The sequence below is a fragment of the Homo sapiens genome, chromosome 5 (genome assembly GCF_000001405.40).
Source record: "Homo sapiens chromosome 5, GRCh38.p14 Primary Assembly".
NCBI lineage: Eukaryota > Metazoa > Chordata > Mammalia > Primates > Hominidae > Homo > Homo sapiens.
In genome coordinates, this window is record NC_000005.10 from 56618847 (window position 1) to 56639076 (window position 20230).

Here is a 20230-nt window from a genome sequence, read left to right on the forward strand (position 1 = left end):
AATAGTGAGACTCTGTCTCTGCAAAAATGAAAAAAAAAAATTAGCCGGCCATGGTGGTATGTACCTGTAGCCCTAGCTACTTAAGAGACTGAGGCATGAGGATTGCTGGAGCCCAGGAGTTGGAGGCTACAGTAAGCTGTGATCACACCACTGCACTCCAGCCTGGGCTACAGGGAGAGATCCTGTCTCAAAACACAAAAACAAGAATAGTACCATACCTTCATTGAGCTCATAGTCTTCTAGGGGGTTAGAATGGGGTGGATTTGAACACAGAACTGCTATGAAGAATGTTATCTGTAGTAATGGGGAATATATAGGCTGCTTGGAAGCCCACAGCAGGAGCATTTATGGACTTCCAGGGACGTCAAAGAAAACTTCCTGTAGGAAGTGACATTTAAGCTGCATTCTGAGTCTTATATTTATGGCTTCATTCTACATTTAAATCAGGAGTTAATTTAAGTTCAAGCAGCAATGTACCTAGTAAATGTGATCAAAATAAGAGCTATCATTGCTTTTACATGTTGGATTTCTATATGTGCTTGGGTCTGTTTCTGGGCTTTGCATCCTATTTTTTTAAAAGCTGCCTCTTTTTGGCTCCTATGTGTTCTCTTTATAATTATTGTCTTAATTTTGTATTTGAGCCAACATATAAAATCATTTGCTTTGCTTTTATTAATACTTTTTACACTAAATTAATTTTCTTGATGTACACCTGTACTTTTGTCAGTTTATTACAATAAAATCACTTTTCACCATATTTATTATAGTTTTCCATTTAACTTCTTAAAATACTTAAAAATTGTATGTACTAAAAGTACATACAGTATATTTTCACTACTTAATGAAAAATAAAAAATGACACCCATGTCCCTCACACTGTGCTCTGATCCATGCAGAGGGCTTATGTGCTGCTTTCTGATCTGTCCATTTCTATGCCCTCAGCCGTATCCTACATTGAAATAGCACTGAGCATTCCCTTGCTTTTCTTCATAGTTTTACCACCTGTGTTTCCTCCAAGCAATATATCATTTCATTTGCCTTGTTTCAACTTTTCTTAACGAAATCATTCTATATTTTTGTAACTTCCTTCTGTGGTTCAGCATCATATGTGTTTACATATACAGATAGAATACAGCATGTTCATTTATTTTTACTGCTACATGGTAGTACAGTATATATATATCCTTAAGTTTTTTAATCCAATTCATTGTTGATGGATATTTATATTACTTTAAGATTTTTGCTAATAGGAATAACGCTTTTCTGAACATGCCCTGGTTCACCTGTAAAAGTTTCTCTAAGATTTATACATAGAAGATAAATACCTGGGTCTTAGAGTATGCACATATTCACCTTTACCAGTTAGTGCTGGATTGTTTAACAAAGCAATTGTAACAAGCTACGCTCCCACAAGCAGCCTTTGAAAGCTCCTGTTGCTTTCTCGCCAACACTTGGTATTAACTGACTTTTTAACTGTCATTAATCTGATATGAAAGGATACTATTGTAGTATTTATTTACATTGTCTTGACATATAATAAGAGCAATAATATTTTATATATTTACTGGCTGTTTGTATTTCCTCCTCTAGAAAATGACTGTTCATGAAAATTGCCCATTTTTCTATTAGTTTATTCCTCTCTTTCTTAATGATTCAAAGGGTTCTTTTGCATTCTGAGACTAGCCCTTTGGTCACATGTGTGGCAAATGTCTTCTCCCTCTTTATGACTCTTATTTTTTCTCTCTCAGAGAAAATAAGGTTTCTTCTGATAAGCTGAAGTTCTTGATTTTAATATAGTCAAGTATAATAATCTTTTCCTTTATGTTTAGATGCTTTTGGTGTCTTGCATAGGAAGTCTTTCCCTACCTCAAAATCATAAAGATATTTCCTATTTTTTTCTAAAAGGCTTAAATTTGGCCTTTCCATTTTTAAGTCATGAATGAATCTGGAAATGATTTTTGTGTAAGGTCTAAAGAGAAAGGCATTTTTAATTTTTTTATCCTTTGTAAGGACAACCAATTTTCTCCCATTACTTCTAATTGAATAGTCCTTTTTTGCCTCATTGATTTTTTACTCACTGAAGATGACATCTTTTAGAAGTTCTAAATTTATGTGAAGGCATTCAATCCACCCTGTCCTGGATTAAGCTCCAGTTTTTGCTCCTGTCCCTTGAGAATATCTGGCCCATGGAAATCTAGACAAAATCCTCCAGGGATTTAAGGGAGTATAAGGGGATATTGCACAAGGCAAACACAGATCAGAGTTCACTTCTACCTGTGGTATCATCCTTTCTTCCGTCTCTGGCCTCCAATTGTTTCCCCACTTTACCACCAGCTCAGTCCTGCCTTTATAAATATTAATTTCAGGTATCCGTATAGGAAGAAATTTCTCTATACTTTCAATTAAAATTATTGCCCTTAATTTAAAATCTAAATCAATTCGATGTTATTTCCAGTTCTTTTTATTTCACTTATAAAGTTAGGATTCTTTCTTTCTTTTTACATCATTGTTATTACATTTAATCTGGTTAGCTGAGTTATGTTTCTCAAAAAATTTTCCAGGAAGGGTACATGAATAATTCCATTCCTGTGAATATTTTAGTATTTCCCTTACATGAGAAAGACATCTTGGCTGAGTGACACTCTTTCCCCTCTGCATTCTTTAGATGTTATTCCATTGTCTTCATCAGAAAATGATCCTGAAGTGCTTGAGATCAGGCTAAACTGTTGGCCTGTTTTTGTTTTTGTGGGCTGATTTTTATGGAGGTAGGGGTAGAAATAAAGTAATAGTGATCTGCTTCTGTTTCTATTGTTGGATGATTACAGAAATTTCTTTTTTTCATTTCCTTTTCTTTTTTGATGTTATTTAACATCACCAGAATATACTTTGATATGGGTTGTTATTTATTAAGTTTTCCCAGGTTACAATAATCCCTTTCAATCTGCAGATTCAGATTGTCCTTCATTCTAGGAAAGTTTTCTTATATTATATCATTGAATGTTTTATTTTTTCTCTTTTCTTGTCCATGAATTGCTATTTTCTGTGTATTAAATCTCCATCGACTATTCTTCATAGCCATAATGTCATTTCTAATCTCTCGCAATTCAGTTCTTTTCCTCAGTTATTTTTGGATTTTTCTCAATTCTATCTTTTATCTCACTAATTTTAGTTCTTCATAGTATCAATGTTGTTTTTACTACTTCTAATGTCATTTAAATTGCTTTAACAAAATGGCTAGTCAGGCTGCAGTCATGAATATTCCATAGTATTTCAGATTTAAACTGGCCTCAATCTCACAATGTTTTAAAACTTGTATGAAGAGTGAAAATAAAAAAGATAATTGACTTCATCGTTGAGAAAAAAGTGTAAATATAATATATAACATATATATAAATGTACAAATTTGGCATTTGTGATGTTTTTACATGCTCTTTTTTTGTCTCTTTTCTCCAAATGTACATTCCATTTTGAGAAGAGACTTAGGAAAGTAGCCAGACATGAGTAAGTTTGGCCGCACCCAAAGAGAGGGCTGATGAATTCCCTTCCAAATATACAGTTCTATAATATGTAAACTGTAATTGTTTCTCAGACTGTTAAAAAATTCCATCAACTTCTCTGATACATTAAGTAGATTTGTACATTATTTTTTCTTTTTTAATGAAATAGCAACTGTCCTCTATCAAAATCAAGAGACCCTAAATAAAATCCTGTCCAAAGTAACAAAAGAAAGGTATAGCAATCATAGTGTTTTCAATTCTTAAGATCTAAATTAAACATTAAACCCCCAGAAAATAAATGCCGTCTGTGTTGAAAAACTCAGAACAAATAACTTCTCCAATCGTGTTGGAATATAGTAGGTACTTCAGATATGAAATGATTTCACAGATCCTAATTTTAACGATCATGTCATTTTTATGAATGGGGAAATCTAAGGTGTAGTGAGGGGAGATATTTAAAAATATCTAAGGAACCAAGAGTTGAACAGACCAGAACCCCTTAGCAACCAATGTTATTTTTTTAAGTGTATATGAGAATGTCTGTGCAAGGATTCCCCTGCTCATTAGGAGTAGGTAGAACTATTATTGCAAAGTTGTCATTTTCAAGTGAATAGTGTGTGGGTAGCTTCCTTTATGTCTGGACAAATTAGAGCTGTGCAGGAATTTGCTAATTAGTATGTGTTGATGGCTCAGTTCAGTAGCCCTGCCTCAGGACTCAGATCAGGATACCATAAGTATTTTTAAACTTCTTCAAGCATAATAACTATAGGAAAAGATGAACAGAATTAGAATTATTCGACTTGGAAGAAAGAATATCAAAAGCTAAACGTGCTACTTTCTAATAGGTCAGAAGAATTACAACTTTGTATGACCCACAAAAAGGAAAATTAGATAATTGCAACAGGAATTGGTTAACATCAAAGAAAGAACTTCCCAGTTATAAAGACTGGGGAGTAAACACCAGGGAAATAACAAAATAATAATGACAACACTAATAATAAGTATGGTTTATTGAATATATTATGTGTCTTTTCCATTTTAAGCACTTTGTAGACATTATCTCATTTAATCTTCACAATAATGTTTTATGGTCAGTGTTGTTGCTTCAATTTCACATTTATTTGTTCATTTAACAATTATTTTTGAAGGCCTACTATGTACCAAGCACTGTTCTAGACAGAAGGATTAGAGATTCATAAGACTGAACAAAGTCTCTGTACCCATGAAGCTTTTATTCAGGCATTGGCAGATGGGGGAGGTTGACAATGAACAAAGAAATAAGAAAAATAACAGAGTGATAACTATTATGCAGAGAATTGAAAATAGAGGGTTATGATAATCATCAATGAACTAGGCAATCAGAGAAGCATTTCTGAGGAGGTGAATTCTGATTGACAAGAAAGAGACAACATGTGTGGGGAAATGGAAGAATATTGCTGGCAGAGAGCAGGTGGAGGCAAGGCACTAATGCAGCAACAAATTTAACCACTTCCAGAGGCCAAAAGAAGCCCGCTGTGCCAGGGCACGGTAGACAAGGGGAAATGTCTACCAGGAAGTCCCATAACACTTAAACACCATACAAAGGCTTTACCCTGACCCTTGTAAAGCACCATAACCTGTTCTCTGACCTTCCTTTGGTCTTCACCCTGTGCCATTTCCCCTTGTCTACAGGGAGAGTACAGTGGTGCAATCTCAGCTCACTGCAACCTCTGCCTCTTGGGTTCAAGCAATTCTCCCACCTCAGCCTCCCAAGTAGCTGGGACTACAGGTGCGGGCCACCGTGCCCGGCTACTTTTTGTATTTTTGGTAGAAACAGGGGTTTCACCATGTTAGTCAGGCTGGTCTCGAACCTCTGACCTCAAGTGATCCTCACGCTTCAGCCTCCCAATGTACTGGGATTACAGGCATGAGACACTGTGCCCAGCCTATTTCTTTTAAAAATACCTCTATTGTAATGACTAGAATAATTCTGTATAAAAATTTGATACAAAATCAATCAATTCATTATGTTTCTTAAACATCATTTGGGCTTCTGTGTAGAGAATGGATTGTAGGATGGCAAGCACAGAGGTCATCTGCAGGAAGGTCATGAAGCCTTTCCTCTGGAGCAGGGAGGCCTCCCCTGGGAAGGTGGAACCAGGAGGCTAAGCCACTGACCTGCTCTGCAATTCAGCCACAGCTAGGGCATACTACATTCTCCCACTCTATAGTGGCTGACAAGTGCCAATTAGAGCCCCAATTTGCTATCAGTTGCCCATGTGGTTAAGTACTGTCTTTTTGTTTATTTGTTTAAACTCAAAGTTGTAGCAGCAGTTGACCTACTTGCCAACATAACCCAATTCCTACACACACACACACACACACACACAGACACATACACACACACACACACACACACACACACACACACACACACACACACACAGGTAATGGGGGAAAATCATTTTAAACTGTCTTTAGTTACATGGAAATGCATTAGAATGAAATGTGTCTGACTTGGGTCAACTGTTATCTATAATACAAGGATGACTCTACCCAAAGAATTTCTTTCCTGTCTTTCTAATAGTATGTTCCAGAAGAATTAAGATCCAGATGTGATCGAGGAACTTCTCATGACAGTGGAAAAACTCAGCCTGCCAATATTACTAAAGGGGAAAAAAAGGTTTTGAGGTAGATATCCTCCAGATTTTGTTGGACAAGGGGGAATTAATAATGTGGCATATGAGATCAGTCCCATAATGAGGGAGAAAAGATCAGAGGAATCTTGAACATTGATGTGTCCATCATGAAATCATCTACATGCATCTCTCATTCTCCTTCTATAATATTCTCAAATCAAATAAATGATGTTCAATATCTATGTTCAATATGTGAAACAGATATTGGAAAAACAAAAGTAAAACCTTGAACTTCAGTGATTAAACAAAAGTAATGTAGGAACTCTTGATCTGTTTCTTGAAACAAACAGTCTACTCAAATCACATCCACTACAGGACATCATTACGGTCTACAGACACAATGATGCAGTACTAATAAAAAAATTAGCCATATCAATAATAATAATATTTATTAAAGATCTCCTCTAGATCAGATATTGTGTCGAGTGCTGCAAGATCTTTTCCTAAGGATGGAAAATATTTATAGAACTACTGGTGACCTATGTCTCCAAAATTGAGATAAATTTCTGCAACATTCTTTGGGACTCATTAGAAACATTTCCCATTTGGGAAACTTCTTAAACAAAAATGGTGATTGACTGTTCTGCTCATTTATCCAAGAAAGAGTTGAATGGATTTCATCTGGAAGAGTTTCCTAACACCAAAAATACTGAAAACAAACAAACAAACCACATACGTTACTTAAGTCACACAGATTTGGCCTCTAATCAAAAAAGAGAGGGGGAAATATTAACATAGAAAGCATTGCATTCCTTCCATATATACGTAAATAGTGTACTTGGAGCATAACAGCAAGAATCCAGAATCAATGAATCATGGCTAAGATATCCATAAAATACTTGAAGCAAAAATAGTGTGGTTTCTTTCAATACTTACACAAAAATTCAGGGCTTTCACATAAAGATAATCACTAATGAAAAAATGCCACTTGTTCTAGTCCTTCATAATTGCTAAATATTACATTCACTTTGTTACCTATTCACTTTTTCTGGTTTTAAAAGTAGTATTTCCTCACTAAAGAAAAGGTGGAAAATCAGGAAGATTATAAAGAATTTGTCCCACGTTTTGAAGGAAAATCTCCCATAATCCCACAACCCAGAATTAATGGCTAATATTTTGGGTAGGTTTCATTCAGCCTTTTTCTTATATGAACCTTATATTTTTACACAGTTAAGAAACAATCATACGTACACTTTTTAAAACTTTTATTTTAGCTTTGGGGGTACATATGAGGGTTTGTTACATAAGTAAACACATGTCACAGGGATTTGTTGTACATATTATTTCATCACCCAGGTATTAAACCCAGTACCCAATAGTTATTTTTTCTGCTCCTGTCCCTTCTGCCACCCTCCCCCATCAACAACAGACCAAGTGTCTTTTGTTTCCTTCTTTGTGTTCATAAGTTCTTATCATTTAGATCCCACTTATAAGTGAGAACACGTGGTATTTGGTTTTCTGTTCCTGCGTTAGTTTGCTAAGGATAATAAACTCCAGCTCCATTCATCTTCCCACAAAGACACGATCTCATTCTTTTTTATGACTGCATGGTATTCCATGGTGTATGGAATTTTCTTTATCCACTCTGCCATTGATGTCATTTAGGTTGATTTTATGTCTTTGCTATTGTGAATAGTGCTGCAATGAACACTCACATGCATGCGTCTTTATGGTAGAATGACTTATATTCCTCTGGGTATATACCCAGTAATGTGATTGCTGGGTCAAATGGTAGTTCTGCTTTTAGCTCTTTGAGGAATCAACATACTGCTTTCCACAATAATTGAAAAAATTTAGATTCCCACCAACAGTGTGTTTTTCTCTGCAACCTTACCAGCATCTGTTATTTTTTGACTTTGTAATAATAGCCTTTCTGACTATTATGAGATAGTATCTCACTGTGGTTTTGATTTTTATTTCTCTAACGATCAGTAATACTGAGCTTTTTTTATATGCTTGTTGGCTACATTCTTTTGAGAACTGTCTGTTCATGTCCTTTGCCCACTTTTTAATGGAGTTGTTTTTCTCTTGTAAATTTGTTTAAGTTCCTTAAATACGCTGGATATTAGACCTTTGTCAGATACATAGTTTGCAAATACTTTCTTCTATACTGTAGGTTGTCTGTTTACTCTGTTGATACGTGCAGAAGCTCTTACATTTAATTAGATCCCATTTTCCAATGTTCACTTTTGTTGAAATTGCTTTTGGTGTCTTTGTCATGAAATCTTTGCCCATTCCTATTAATATGTCCAGGATGGTATTGTGTAGGTTGTCTGTCTTCCAGGGTTTTTATATTTAAGTTTTTAATTCATCTTGAGTTTTTTGTTTGTTTGTTTGTTGTATGGTATAAGGAACGGATCCAGTTTCAACCTTCTGCATACAGCTAGCTAGTTATCCCAGCACCATTTATTGAATAGGGAGTCTTTTCCACATTGCTTATTTTTGTCAGCTTTGCAAAAATCATATGTCATAGCTGTGCAGCCTTATTTCTGGGCTCTCTATGCTGTTCCATTGATCTATGTTCCTGTTTTTATACTAGTACCATGCTGTTTTGGTTACTGTAGCCTTGTAGTATAGTTTGAAGGCAGGTAACATGATGCCTCCAGCTTTGTTCTTTTTGCCTAGGATTGCCTTGGTTATTCAGGTTCTTTTTTGCTTCCATTTTAATTTTTAAATAGTTTTTCATTCTGTGAAGAATATCATTGGTAGTTTGATAGGAATAGCATTGAATCTGTAAATTGCTTTGGGCAATATAGCCATTTTAATGATATTGATTCTTACTATCTGATATGGTTTGGCTCTGTGTCCCAACCCAAATCTCATCTTGAATTGAACTCTCATAATTCCCACATGTTGTGGGAGGGACTAGGTGGGAGATAATTGAGTCATGGGGACAATTTCCTTCATACTGTTCTCCTGGTAGTGAATAAGTCTCACAAAATCTGATGGTTTTATCAGGGGTTTCTGCTGTTGTGTCTTCCTCATTTCTCTCTTTGCCTGCTGCCATCCATGTAAGATGGGACTTGCTCCTCCTTGCCTTCCGCCATGATTTTGAGGCTTCCCCAGCCATGTGGAACTGTAAGTCCAATTAAACGTCTTTCTTTTGTAAATTGCCCAATCTAGGGTATGTCTTCATCAGCAGCATGAAAACGAATTAATACAGTAAATTGGTACCAATAGAGTGTGGCACTGCAGAGAAGATAACCGAAAATATGGAAGCAACTTTGGAACTGGGTAATAGGCAGAGGTTAGAATAGTTTGGAGGGCTCAGAAGACAGGAAAATGTGGGAAAGTTTGGAACTTCCCAGAGACTTGTTGAATGGCTTTGACCAAAATGCTAATAGCAATATGGACAACAAGGTCCAGGCTGAGGTGGTCTCAGATGGAAATGAGGAACTTGTTGGGAACTTGAGCAAAGGTGACTCTTGTTATGTTTTAGCAAAGAAACTGGCAGCATTTTGCCCCCGTCCTAGAAATTTGTGGAACTTTGAACTTTAGGGAGATGCTTTAGAGTATCTGGAGGAAGAAATTTCTAAGCAGCAAAGCATTCAAGAGGTGACTTGGGTGCTATTTAAAACATTCAGCTTTAAAAGGGAAACAGAGCATAAAAGTGAAAAGTTTGCAGCTTGACAATGCAATAAAAAAGAAAATCCCATTTTCTGAGGAGAAATTCAAGCAGGCTACACAAGTTTACATAAGTAACAAGGAGCTAAATGTTAATCCCCAAGACAATGGGGAAAATGTCTCCAGGGCATGTCAGAGGTCTTCACAGCAGCCCCTCCCATCACAGGCCTGGAGGCCTAGGAGGAAAAAGTGGTTTTGTGGGCCAGGCCCAGGGACCCCTTGCTGTGTGCCGCCTAGGGACTTGGTGCCCTGCATCCCAGCTGCTCCAGCCGTAGCTGAAAGGGGTCAACATAGAGCTCGGGCCGTGTCTTCAGATTGTGCAAGCTCCAAGCCTTGGCAGCTTCCACATAATGTTGAGGCTGTGGGTGCACAGAAATCAAGAATTGAGGTTTGGGAACCTCTGCCTAGATTTCAGAAGATGTATGGAAATGCCTGGATGCCCAGGCAGAGGTTTGCTGCAGGGGTTGGGCTCTTATGGAGAACCTCTGCTAGGGCAGTGTGGAAGGGAGATGTGGGGTCAGAGTCCCCACACAGAGTGTACTGGGGCACTGCCTAGTGGAACTGTGAGAAGAGGGCCACCATCCTCCAGACCCCAAAATGGTAGATCCACCAACAGCTTGCACCGTGAACCTGGAAAAGCTGCAGACACTCAACACCAGCCAGTGAAAGCAGCTGGAAGGAAGACTGTACTCTGCAAAGCCACAGGGGCGGAGCTGCCCAAGACCATGGGAACTCACCTCTTGCATCAGTGTGACCTGGTTGTGAGACATGGAGTCAAAAGAGATCATTTTGGAGCTTTAAGATTTGACTGTCCCACTGGATTTCAGACTTGCATGGGCCCTGTAGCCCCCTTTGTTTTGGCCAATTTCTCCCATTTGAAATGGTTGCATTTACCCAATGGCTGTACCCCCATTGTATCTAGGAAGTAACTAGATTGCTTTTGGTTTTACAGGCTCATAGGTGGAAGGGACTTACCTTGTCTCAAATGAGACTTTGGACTGTAGACTTTTGAGTTAATGCTCAAATGAGTTAAGACCTTGGGTCACTGTTGGGAAGGCATGATTGGTTTTGAAATGTGAGGACATGAGATTTGGCAGGTGCCAGGGGCAGAATGATATGGTTTGGTTCCGTGTCCCCACCCAAATCTCATCTTGAATTGAACTCCCATAATTCCCACATGTTTTGGGAGGGACCTGGTGGGAGATAATTGAATCATGGGGGCAGTTTCCTTCATACTGTTCTCCTGGAAGTAAATATATCTCACAAGATATGATTATTTTATCAGGGGTTTCTGCTGTCACGTCTTCCTCATTTCTCTCTTTGCCTGCTGCCATCCATGTAAGATTGGACTTGCCCCTCTTTGCCTTCCGCCATGATTGTGAGGCTTCCTCAGCCATGTGGAACTATAAGTCCAATTAAACCTCTTCCTTTTGTAAATTGCCCAGTCTTGGATATGTCTTTATCAGCAGCATGAAAACAAACTAATACACTATCCATGAGCATGAGATGTTTTTCCACTTGTTTGTGTCTTCTCTGATTTCTTTGAGCACTGTTTTGTAATTCTCATTGTAGAGATCTTTCACCTTGCTGGTTAGCTGTATTCTTGGGCATTTTATTTTTTATAGCTGCATAGTATTCCATGGTGCATATGTGTCACATTTTCTTTATCCAGTCTATTATTGATGGGCATTTGGGTTGGTTCCAAGTCTTTGCTATTGTGAACAGTGCCACAATAAACATACATGTGCATGTGTCTTGATAGTAAATTATTTGTAATCCTTTGGGTATATACCCAGTAATGGGATTGCTGGGTCAAATGGTATTTGTCTTTTGAATGATTTTTCATGACTTGACTTCCTTTAGTGCAGCTCTGATTTGTGTTATTTCTCATATTCTGCTAACTTTGGGATTGATTTGTTCTTGCTTCTCTAATTCTTTCAGTTGTGAAGTTAGGTTGTTAATCTGATATCTTTCTAATGTTTTATGTGGGCAATTAGTGCTATGAATTTCCCTTTTAACATGGCCTTAGTTGTGTCTCAGAGATTCTGGTATGTTATATCTTCGTTTCCATTATTTTCAAAAAACTTCTTGATTTCTGCCTTAATTACATTATTTACCCAAAAGTCATTCAGGAGCATGTCATTTAATTTCCATGTAATTGCATGGTTTTGAGCAATTCAATTTTTGTAGTCTTGACTTCTATTTTTATTGTGTTGTGGTCTGAGAGTGTGTTTGGTATGATTTGGGTTCTTTTGTATTTGTTGAATATTGTTTTATGTCCAATTATGTGGTGGATTTGAGAGTATGTGCCATGTGGTGATGAGAAGATACATATACTTTTTAAAACTTGCTTTTTTAATACTACGAGCAGTTTCCCATGCCATTAAAACTTCTTCATAAATGTTCTTTTGATAGGTACAAAATATTATATTTCTAAGCCTCTATATTTTTAACATTTATGTTGCTTCTAATGTTTTTCTATTATAAAATCTCTACAGTGGTTGTAATGACTAGAATTTTTGCATTACATTTTGAATGACTTTATTGTAATGACTAGAATAATTCTTTATAAAAATTGCTACAAAATTAACCAACCAATCAATTCATCATATTTCTTAAACATCATTCTGGCTTCTGTGTAGAGAATGGATTGCAGGTGGGCAAGCACAGAGGTCATCTGCAGGGAGATCATCAAGCCTTTCCCCAGGAACAGGGAGAGGCAGGAAAAAGGACCCAGGGGATCTAGCTAGTCACCTGTTCAAAAATGTAATATTAATCACATCCCAGCAGAGTTTTGAAAAGAGTAAAACTTTTTTCTATTTCTATTCCATGAATAGGCAAATTCATGGAATAGGCCTATTCATGGAATAGAAATTCCATTTCTATTCCATGAATAGGCAAATGGAAGTGGTATTTTCCCCCTACATTTTCCTTCCTCAATCTGGGTCATAAAGAAATTGATTGAAAAAGAGACTAGAGGGTTCTTCTCTAGGTATGGCATATTGATTGACAGGGTAGCAGACATCAGCAGAGACATGAAGTTGCCCAGTACTTTTTTTTTTCCCATCTCACTATCAGCTACCATGTCCCTCCACTCCAAGAACATTGGAAGTCAACTGCTCAGAGGTATTTCAAATACCCAGAAATGTCCTTATACACCACAGTGTTCAATCAACTTCCCCAAAGTCCCAACAGTCGTTTAGAATATGACTTCACCCAGGACTGCTGGGTTGCACAACTCCAGGTATACTGTTTGTATTATATTCTATGTGAAGGTCTCCCCTGGAGTAGTGCAGCATTGCCCCAGGCTGTTTTCCTACATTTATACGAGAGTAAAAATGAAGAGGAGAACTCTCTGGCTACCTAAAAAACCTTGTGTTGATCTCACCTCAGGGCTAATGCTGGAGTCTCTTTTGGCTTTAGTGCCAAGGCTCTACTTGTTGATTCACTTATCAAAATATATTTGAATATATTTTCCAGGCAGAAAGCCTTTTAAAAGATACAGAGACACAAAGCTTCTCTAAGACAAACTCTGAACCAGGGCAACAGAGAAACCCTCTGCTCCCACCACCAGGCTATCTAGTTGAAACAGGAGTTATGACTGGATAAGTGTCAAGAACATAAACGGAAACTGTCTCTGAAGCACAGGGCATAAAGCAGCCTTAAAGCTGAAGATGGAGTAGAAGCATTGAAAAAAATCCTCCAGTAATCCAACCTCCACCCCAAGGGCAAGGTAAAATTAGATGAATTGAACTCAATGACACACTGAGGGCAACCATGGCAACAGCAAAAGCCAAACACAATTCAGCTCCTGATTAGACTGATTCAACATCACCCCCTCCTTCCTGATTAATAGCCCAGCAGAAGGGACGTGTCCATTTCTAGGCATAAGGAATTATTCACCTCAGTCTCTACCTTTCTATCTTTGATTGATTGATATCAGGCAATCAATCAAAAATTAGAAGACACACAAAAATCAAAGAAAAATAACTAATTGTAAAAAAGACATAGTAGGCAACAGAGCCAGACTCAGAGATAACCCAGATGTTAGAACTATCATAGAGGGAATTTTAAATAACTGCTTAATATAATATCTTACATGCTGTAGTGGAAAAGGCAAGTAGTACATAAAAATAGATGAGAAATTTTAGTGGAGCAATAAGTGCTATAGAAAAAAATTGAAAATGCTAAAAATGACACACATCATAACAGAGATAAAGAATGCCTTCAACTAGCTGATCGAGAGACTCAACAAGCCAAGAACAAAATCAATGAACTTGAAAATAGATAAACAGAAATTCCTCAAACAGAAACACAAAGGAAAAAAAGGAATGAATGACAAATGACAAAAAAATAAAAAAACACAGAGCATACAAGAGCTGTGGGTCTAATATATGTGTAGAGTAGGAGAAATATTTGAAGAGATGACAGCTGAAAAATTTCCAAAAAATAATGAAATATATTAATCCACAGGTCCAAGGAGTTCAGAGAAGCCTAAAGAGATTAAACAACAAGGTAAAGAAAAAGGAGGAGCAGGAGGAGGGAGGAGAAAAATGAAACCCATACACTCCCACACCCATCTAGATCCATCATAGTCGAGTGGCTTAAAACTAAAGATAAAGAGAAAATTTTGAGGAAAGTTGAAAAAGAAAACATTGTATACAAAGGAACAAAGCTAAGAGTGACAGCAGGAGTCTTATCTGAAACCATGCAAGCCAGAAAACAGTAGAATGATCCCTTTAAAATGCTGAAAGAAAAATACTAGTAACCCAGAATGTATGCCCAGTGGAAAAAAATCCTAAAAATTGAAGAGAAATCAAGACTTTTTCAGACAAACAGAAACTGAGATAACTTATTATCAGCAGACCTACACTACAAAAATTGTTAAAGGAAGTTCTACAGGTAGAAGGAAGATGTTACTGATCAAAACTTGGAATATGGAGCCAGACAGATCTCCAGAAATGGTCAGAATGAAGGTTTTTCTAGCTCTAGGTGAATTGAATTAAATTATTATTATTATTATTTTGAGATGGAGTCTCGCTCTGTTGCCAGGCTGGAGTGCGGTGGTGAGATCTCAGCTCACTGCAACCTCTGACTCTCTGGTTCAAGCTATTCTCCTGCCTCAGCCTCCCCAGTAGCTGGGATTATAGGCATGCACCACCAAGCCCAGCTAATTTTTGTATTTTTAGTTGAGACGGGGTTTCACCATGTTGGCCAGGATGGTCTCGATCTCCTGACCTCGTGATTAGCCCTCCACCTCCCAAAGTGCTGGGATTACAGGCGTGAGCCACCGCGCCCAGCCAATTAAATTATTTTTAACATAAAGTGTCAATTAGCAGACACTGTTGTTGCCTACCACATTGCCTTCAATGGGCTGAAATACTCTTCTCCCACTTGCAGAAGAGGTAAAGAGCTGCTATCAGTTCACAGCTATATTCTTCTCCTGAGAACTGCCCTTGACCAATGGCAGCCACTTGGAAACAGAGTATGTAGAAAGCTATGCATGGTTCCCGGGGTGTCCAGTAACCAATGACTAACAGATGTGAGGCACCAAAAAGGCCTGCCCTTTTGCCTGAAGATGGGATAATTCTGTGGTACCATTCCTGTTGTAAGGTTCCCTATGGGATCACCAGAAGCTGGCTTCATCTGAATTCACATCTTTGGCCTTTTCCCCTGCCCTGACCTGCTTCCTTCTCTTTGGCACAGGTTTTGCCTGAGAGCTGTCCCTCAACATTCCCTCAATCTCTGCTTCTGGGGAACCTGACCCAAGGCACTCTACATTTCACCACAAAGCATGATGTTTGCCATAGGTTTCTGTGCTATGTATCATGTTGTGTATCCAGTTAAGAAATTCCCTTCTGTTCCCAGTTTCCTAAAGAGTGTATATCAAGAATGGAAGATATTTTTTGTAAAAAAATTTTCACATTTATTCTTATGATCACATGCTTTTATTCCCCTTCATTTTGGTAACATGGCAACATACAAAATCAACCTAGAATTCTTGGAATAAATGCAACTTAGTCAATTTTTTTTAATTTTAATCTTAATAGTTTTCAAGACTAAGCACGGAGCAGCAGGAGAAATCCCAAATACATTTAAACCTTCCAAAGCTGCTAACCACAAGAATGCTAGCCATTTCATATTCAACAAGTTTGTCCTCTATCAGGCTTACAAAAGGAACACGACTGTCCACAGGTAAGGGTGGAATGAGAGGGTCTGCAAGTACCTATCAATCTTTTGGCTTCTAACACCAGCTTTTGCTTGAAGGAGCAGTAAAACTTTATGCTTCAGCCATTAGGCAGAGCCCTTCAGAGGATCAAAACACATGGCTAATCAATCCCATAGGATTATGTGAGTAGGGAGTACAAAAGGAATTTGCGAACTGGCAAAGGGCCTTTTATAGACTAGATTTTCAAAAAATATTAGCCTATTAACAGATTTTTACCACCTATTTATCATAGACAACTTTCCTCATCTTTACTTTGTGCATATTAGAAGAAGTTGGAGGAACTTAAACTCTAAAACCATAGTCCTTTTATCACCAAATCCTTGTTTTTATTACTAAGGAAAGAAATAGCTATCAACATTCTAACTAGAAAATACACGAATCTTTGTGTATGGAATAAGTACCCTAAAACAGAGAAACACACAAGCTCTAGAGTGATGGTGAGTTAATTCTGTGAGAAATACCTTTATCCAACTTTATTTGGTCTCTCTCGAGACCCCCATTCTGGAAATGGCTCATCAGGGCTGATAACACTTTTTTTTTTTTTTTTTTGAAACAGGGTTCTGCTTTGTTACCCAGGCTGAAATGCAGTGGCACAATCATAGCTTACTGCAGGCTTAAACCCCTGGGCTCAAGCAATTCTCCCAAACAGCTGGGATTACAGGTGTGAGCCCTGACACCTGGCCAGATGACACAGTCTGGCTGTAAGGTTAAAAGTTTTCCAAGTTTGTTACTCATTGTGTGTTTTTGCATTCTCTGCTAAATTCTAAATTCTTCCAAGGCTGTGAATGTATCTTGCCTTTCTTTTGTCCTGTCTTTCTTGGCAAAGTATTAAGGACAAAAGGGATTTGCTCAATTATTACTGAATTAGAGATGACAGGCCCATGGGAATCACCCCCGGACCCTGGCCCTGCTAACACCCTACTCTAATCAAATGTGTTACTGAAGAAAGTACCCACAGTGGCATCAAAGACAGAAACACTCTGCCAAAATAGAAATCCTAATAAACTCTGAAATCATCAGCTTCCTCTACATTTCTTTCTATTGTCTTTCCATTGATTTATGAGGTACGATGCTTACTGGACACCTTTAACCTGAAGGTCTGGTGGCTGAGAGTACTTTTTATTTTGTTTTTTGTTTTTTTTGTTTTTTGTTTTTTTTTTTTTTTTGAGACGGAGTCTCGCTCTGTCGCCCAGGCTGGAGTGCAGTGGCGCGATCTCGGCTCACTGCAAGCTCCGCCTCCCGGGTTCACGCCATTCTCCTGCCTCAGCCTCCCGAGTAGCTGGGACTACAGGCGCCCGCTACCACGCCCGGCTAATTTTTTGTATTTTTAGTAGAGACGGGGTTTCACCGTGTTAGCCAGGATGGTCTCGATCTCCTGACCTCGTGATCCGCCCGCCTCGGCCTCCCAAAGTGCTGGGATTACAGGCGTGAGCCACCGCGCCCGGCCGAGAGTACTTTTTAAATAGCTGATCATTTGTGAAATAAACACTCTGATCGTCTGATGGCTGCTGACTTTCAATTTGTTTTTTGTTTTTTTTTTTTCCTCCCAGGAACTTTTCCATGGCTCAATGTAATCATTTCCTCAAATGAGAAACATGCCTTTTGTAAAAAACAAACAAAACCCACTGTCATTGGTAGAAATTGGTGCTTCCTTTAACCCTGTCAGGCTCAGCCTGTTCCTTTCCACTCTTTATAAACTTATTTCCCTGAACAACCTTATTGGTGACACAGTTTGTATTGATTTGCCACTCATATCTCTACTTCTTCCCACAACCCCAGAATTGCTACAATTTGGGAGGAAAGAAGCTATGGAAAATGACCAGTATCCCCTGCATTCCTGGCTCTTACCTTTCACTAGTGCCCTGACTCTAAGAATTTTCACTTAAATAACATCCCACAAGTTGCACCAATTAATTTTAATTCATAGATCTCAGAGATCATCGGGATTTTTGAAGCTAGAAGGAACCTCAGTGATTGCCTAGTTGATTCTTTCGTTTTACCAAAATTAAGTTTTGGAATAAATGCATTATCCTAGATCTAGAGACAGAACCAAGATGCAACAAGTCTGAACCCTTTCTAGTGAATACATAGTACCACCCTATATGCATGAACCAAATCTGAGAAAATGAGCTCGCAGGTTTATGCACAGCAACTTGAAAATGTTCCCAACTCCCTCGAAACAACATGCTAATTTAATTTCAGCCAGCAAGACCTCTTTCCAAGTTCCCACCCCACCACCCAAAAAATAGGGTAGCAGGGCTGCCCTGAACATTGAAGCCTCTTGGGGAATTCCCTGACATATCCCAAGGAAAAAGGGTATTGATGCCCAGTTTCAACAGACCTTTCTCACATTCCTGATTCAGAAATCTTACCTAATGTGTATTAGGGTTCTACTGAAATCGGTCTCAAACACCTTATCCAGCAACGTTTGAGAAATCTCTGTGCTACTTGTCCTGCCCACCCCAACCTCAAGCCTTGTCTTCCAGAATGGCTCCACAAAGAGGAGAGAACAGAGACGGATCACCACCAGAGCCTGAGAAGAGGGCCTGTGAAAACTGCCCTCCTTCCAATCAAAAAGGATTTTTTTTTCCTGACTGCTATGTGAATAGAACGTTAAAAACTTGAACTTTGAGCTGTGATCCAATACCTGAAATTCCTTTCATTCCACAATTAAAGATAAGGCTTTCAGTGAAAACACAGCAGGAATGAGCATTCCCCAGACTCTTTAATGCCCAGGAAGAGATAAATGACTGACGTGGGCCATTTCTTAGAGATGGCTTTGGAGGAGGAGGAGGGAAAGGAGAGGTCAAGTGTACTAAAGGAAGAGTGAGCACAGGAAAATGAAAGGCTAGAGGCTTTGAAGAGAATCTCTGCCCACTTCACCATCTGCCCTGAACAATGCCAGATCTAATTGCTTCCAGAACTGCTCCTCACTTTAAAAAACAAAAATCTCCTTTGACCACAAAGCCAACTGCTACAGGTTTTTAAGTGGACAAGGATGTCTTTGGGTGGCATCTACCCAGATGAAGATGAATAGGAAATAGATCCTTATCCAGGTATATTAGAAAGCGACTTCAAAACATGTAATAAATTTGTGCTATCAATCATTATATTACCTCATGAGGTAATATATATGAATATAGCCTTTTCAACTGGGGAGTTCAAAGTGAAAAAGGAACCATAGATTTGTAGAAAACAGCAAAATCAGCTTCCCAAGCACTCAGCAGAGTATCATATGTAATAGAAATCACACACACACACAAAAAGATAAAATCGATACACAGGTTAAAGGAATTTCCAGATTGGTATGATTGTTTCCATAAGTGAAAAAGTGGAATTAAGGATGATATTGAGAATGTGGTAGAATGCAGTCCCTTTTTATTTTCTGAGGAGGTGGGGTGGGAAGCCATTGAGAAAGGCAGAGAAAAAGAATGAGGATTGTGCTCCTGTTTACACACAGCCTGGGTTAATGTGTAATTGACAAGATTAATGGCTGCATAATAATTGCCTCTATTGTTTACTGTCTGGATGGTGGCCAGCCACCTTCCCGCTCTGCCCACCAATGGGTTTGGGTTTGTAAGGAATGCAGTCAGTGGCTGATAGGGTCTGTGTGCCAGGTGTAACCTTGCTAAAGAAGACATTCAAGAATCATACAGGGAGACCTGGTGAGGTTTTGCCATGGCAGGGCATGCCTTCTTCTTGTTGTAAATAGTCTAACTTCAAATCTGCTAGGTGAGCTGTATCAGAACAGGGCCAGGCTTGGCCTGACCTAACTGCTCCACCTGAGAAAGACAAAGAAAATAAAACCTCAGGATGTAGAGAAAGGTCTCATTTCTGTCCTGGCCATACTGTGAACCAAAAAGCAGAGTGTTCCTCTGTGCCATTCCTCGCACTGTCCCGGGCTGTGCTGGGAAGTGCCCACCTTTCCCCCACAGGGATGCACAAATACCTTCCTCCCCACTCTTCCCTGATCTGCTTTCTAAGCTCTTGCCTCTTGTGCACTGTGAGACAAGCAAACAGACCAAGACTCTGGGTCATGAACCCCAGACAGGATTTCCATGGAAAGGTACCATGCGTCCAACCCTTCTCCTGCTGATCTTGTCTTGTCTTGCCTCTCACAGGGACCAGCATGGTTTTATGTACAAAAACAAGAGCTACGTAATTCTCACGTGGCCTTGTTCTCAACTGGGTCACAAGTGTTC

General features: G+C 38.6%; 2 annotated features.

Annotated features, from left to right (window-relative positions):
* Positions 18439-19008: an enhancer, noted in NCBI's record as "OCT4-NANOG hESC enhancer chr5:55933112-55933681 (GRCh37/hg19 assembly coordinates)". NCBI's record gives its function as "activates a minimal SCP1, AML or CMV promoter by ChIP-STARR-seq in primed H9 embryonic stem cells {active_cell/tissue: H9 hESC(primed)}" and the evidence as "EXISTENCE:reporter gene assay evidence [ECO:0000049][PMID:30033119]".
* Positions 18616-18910: an enhancer, noted in NCBI's record as "tiled region #1284; HepG2 Activating DNase unmatched - State 1:Tss". NCBI's record gives its function as "activates a minimal TATA promoter and a strong SV40 promoter by Sharpr-MPRA in HepG2 cells {active_cell/tissue: HepG2}" and the evidence as "EXISTENCE:reporter gene assay evidence [ECO:0000049][PMID:27701403]".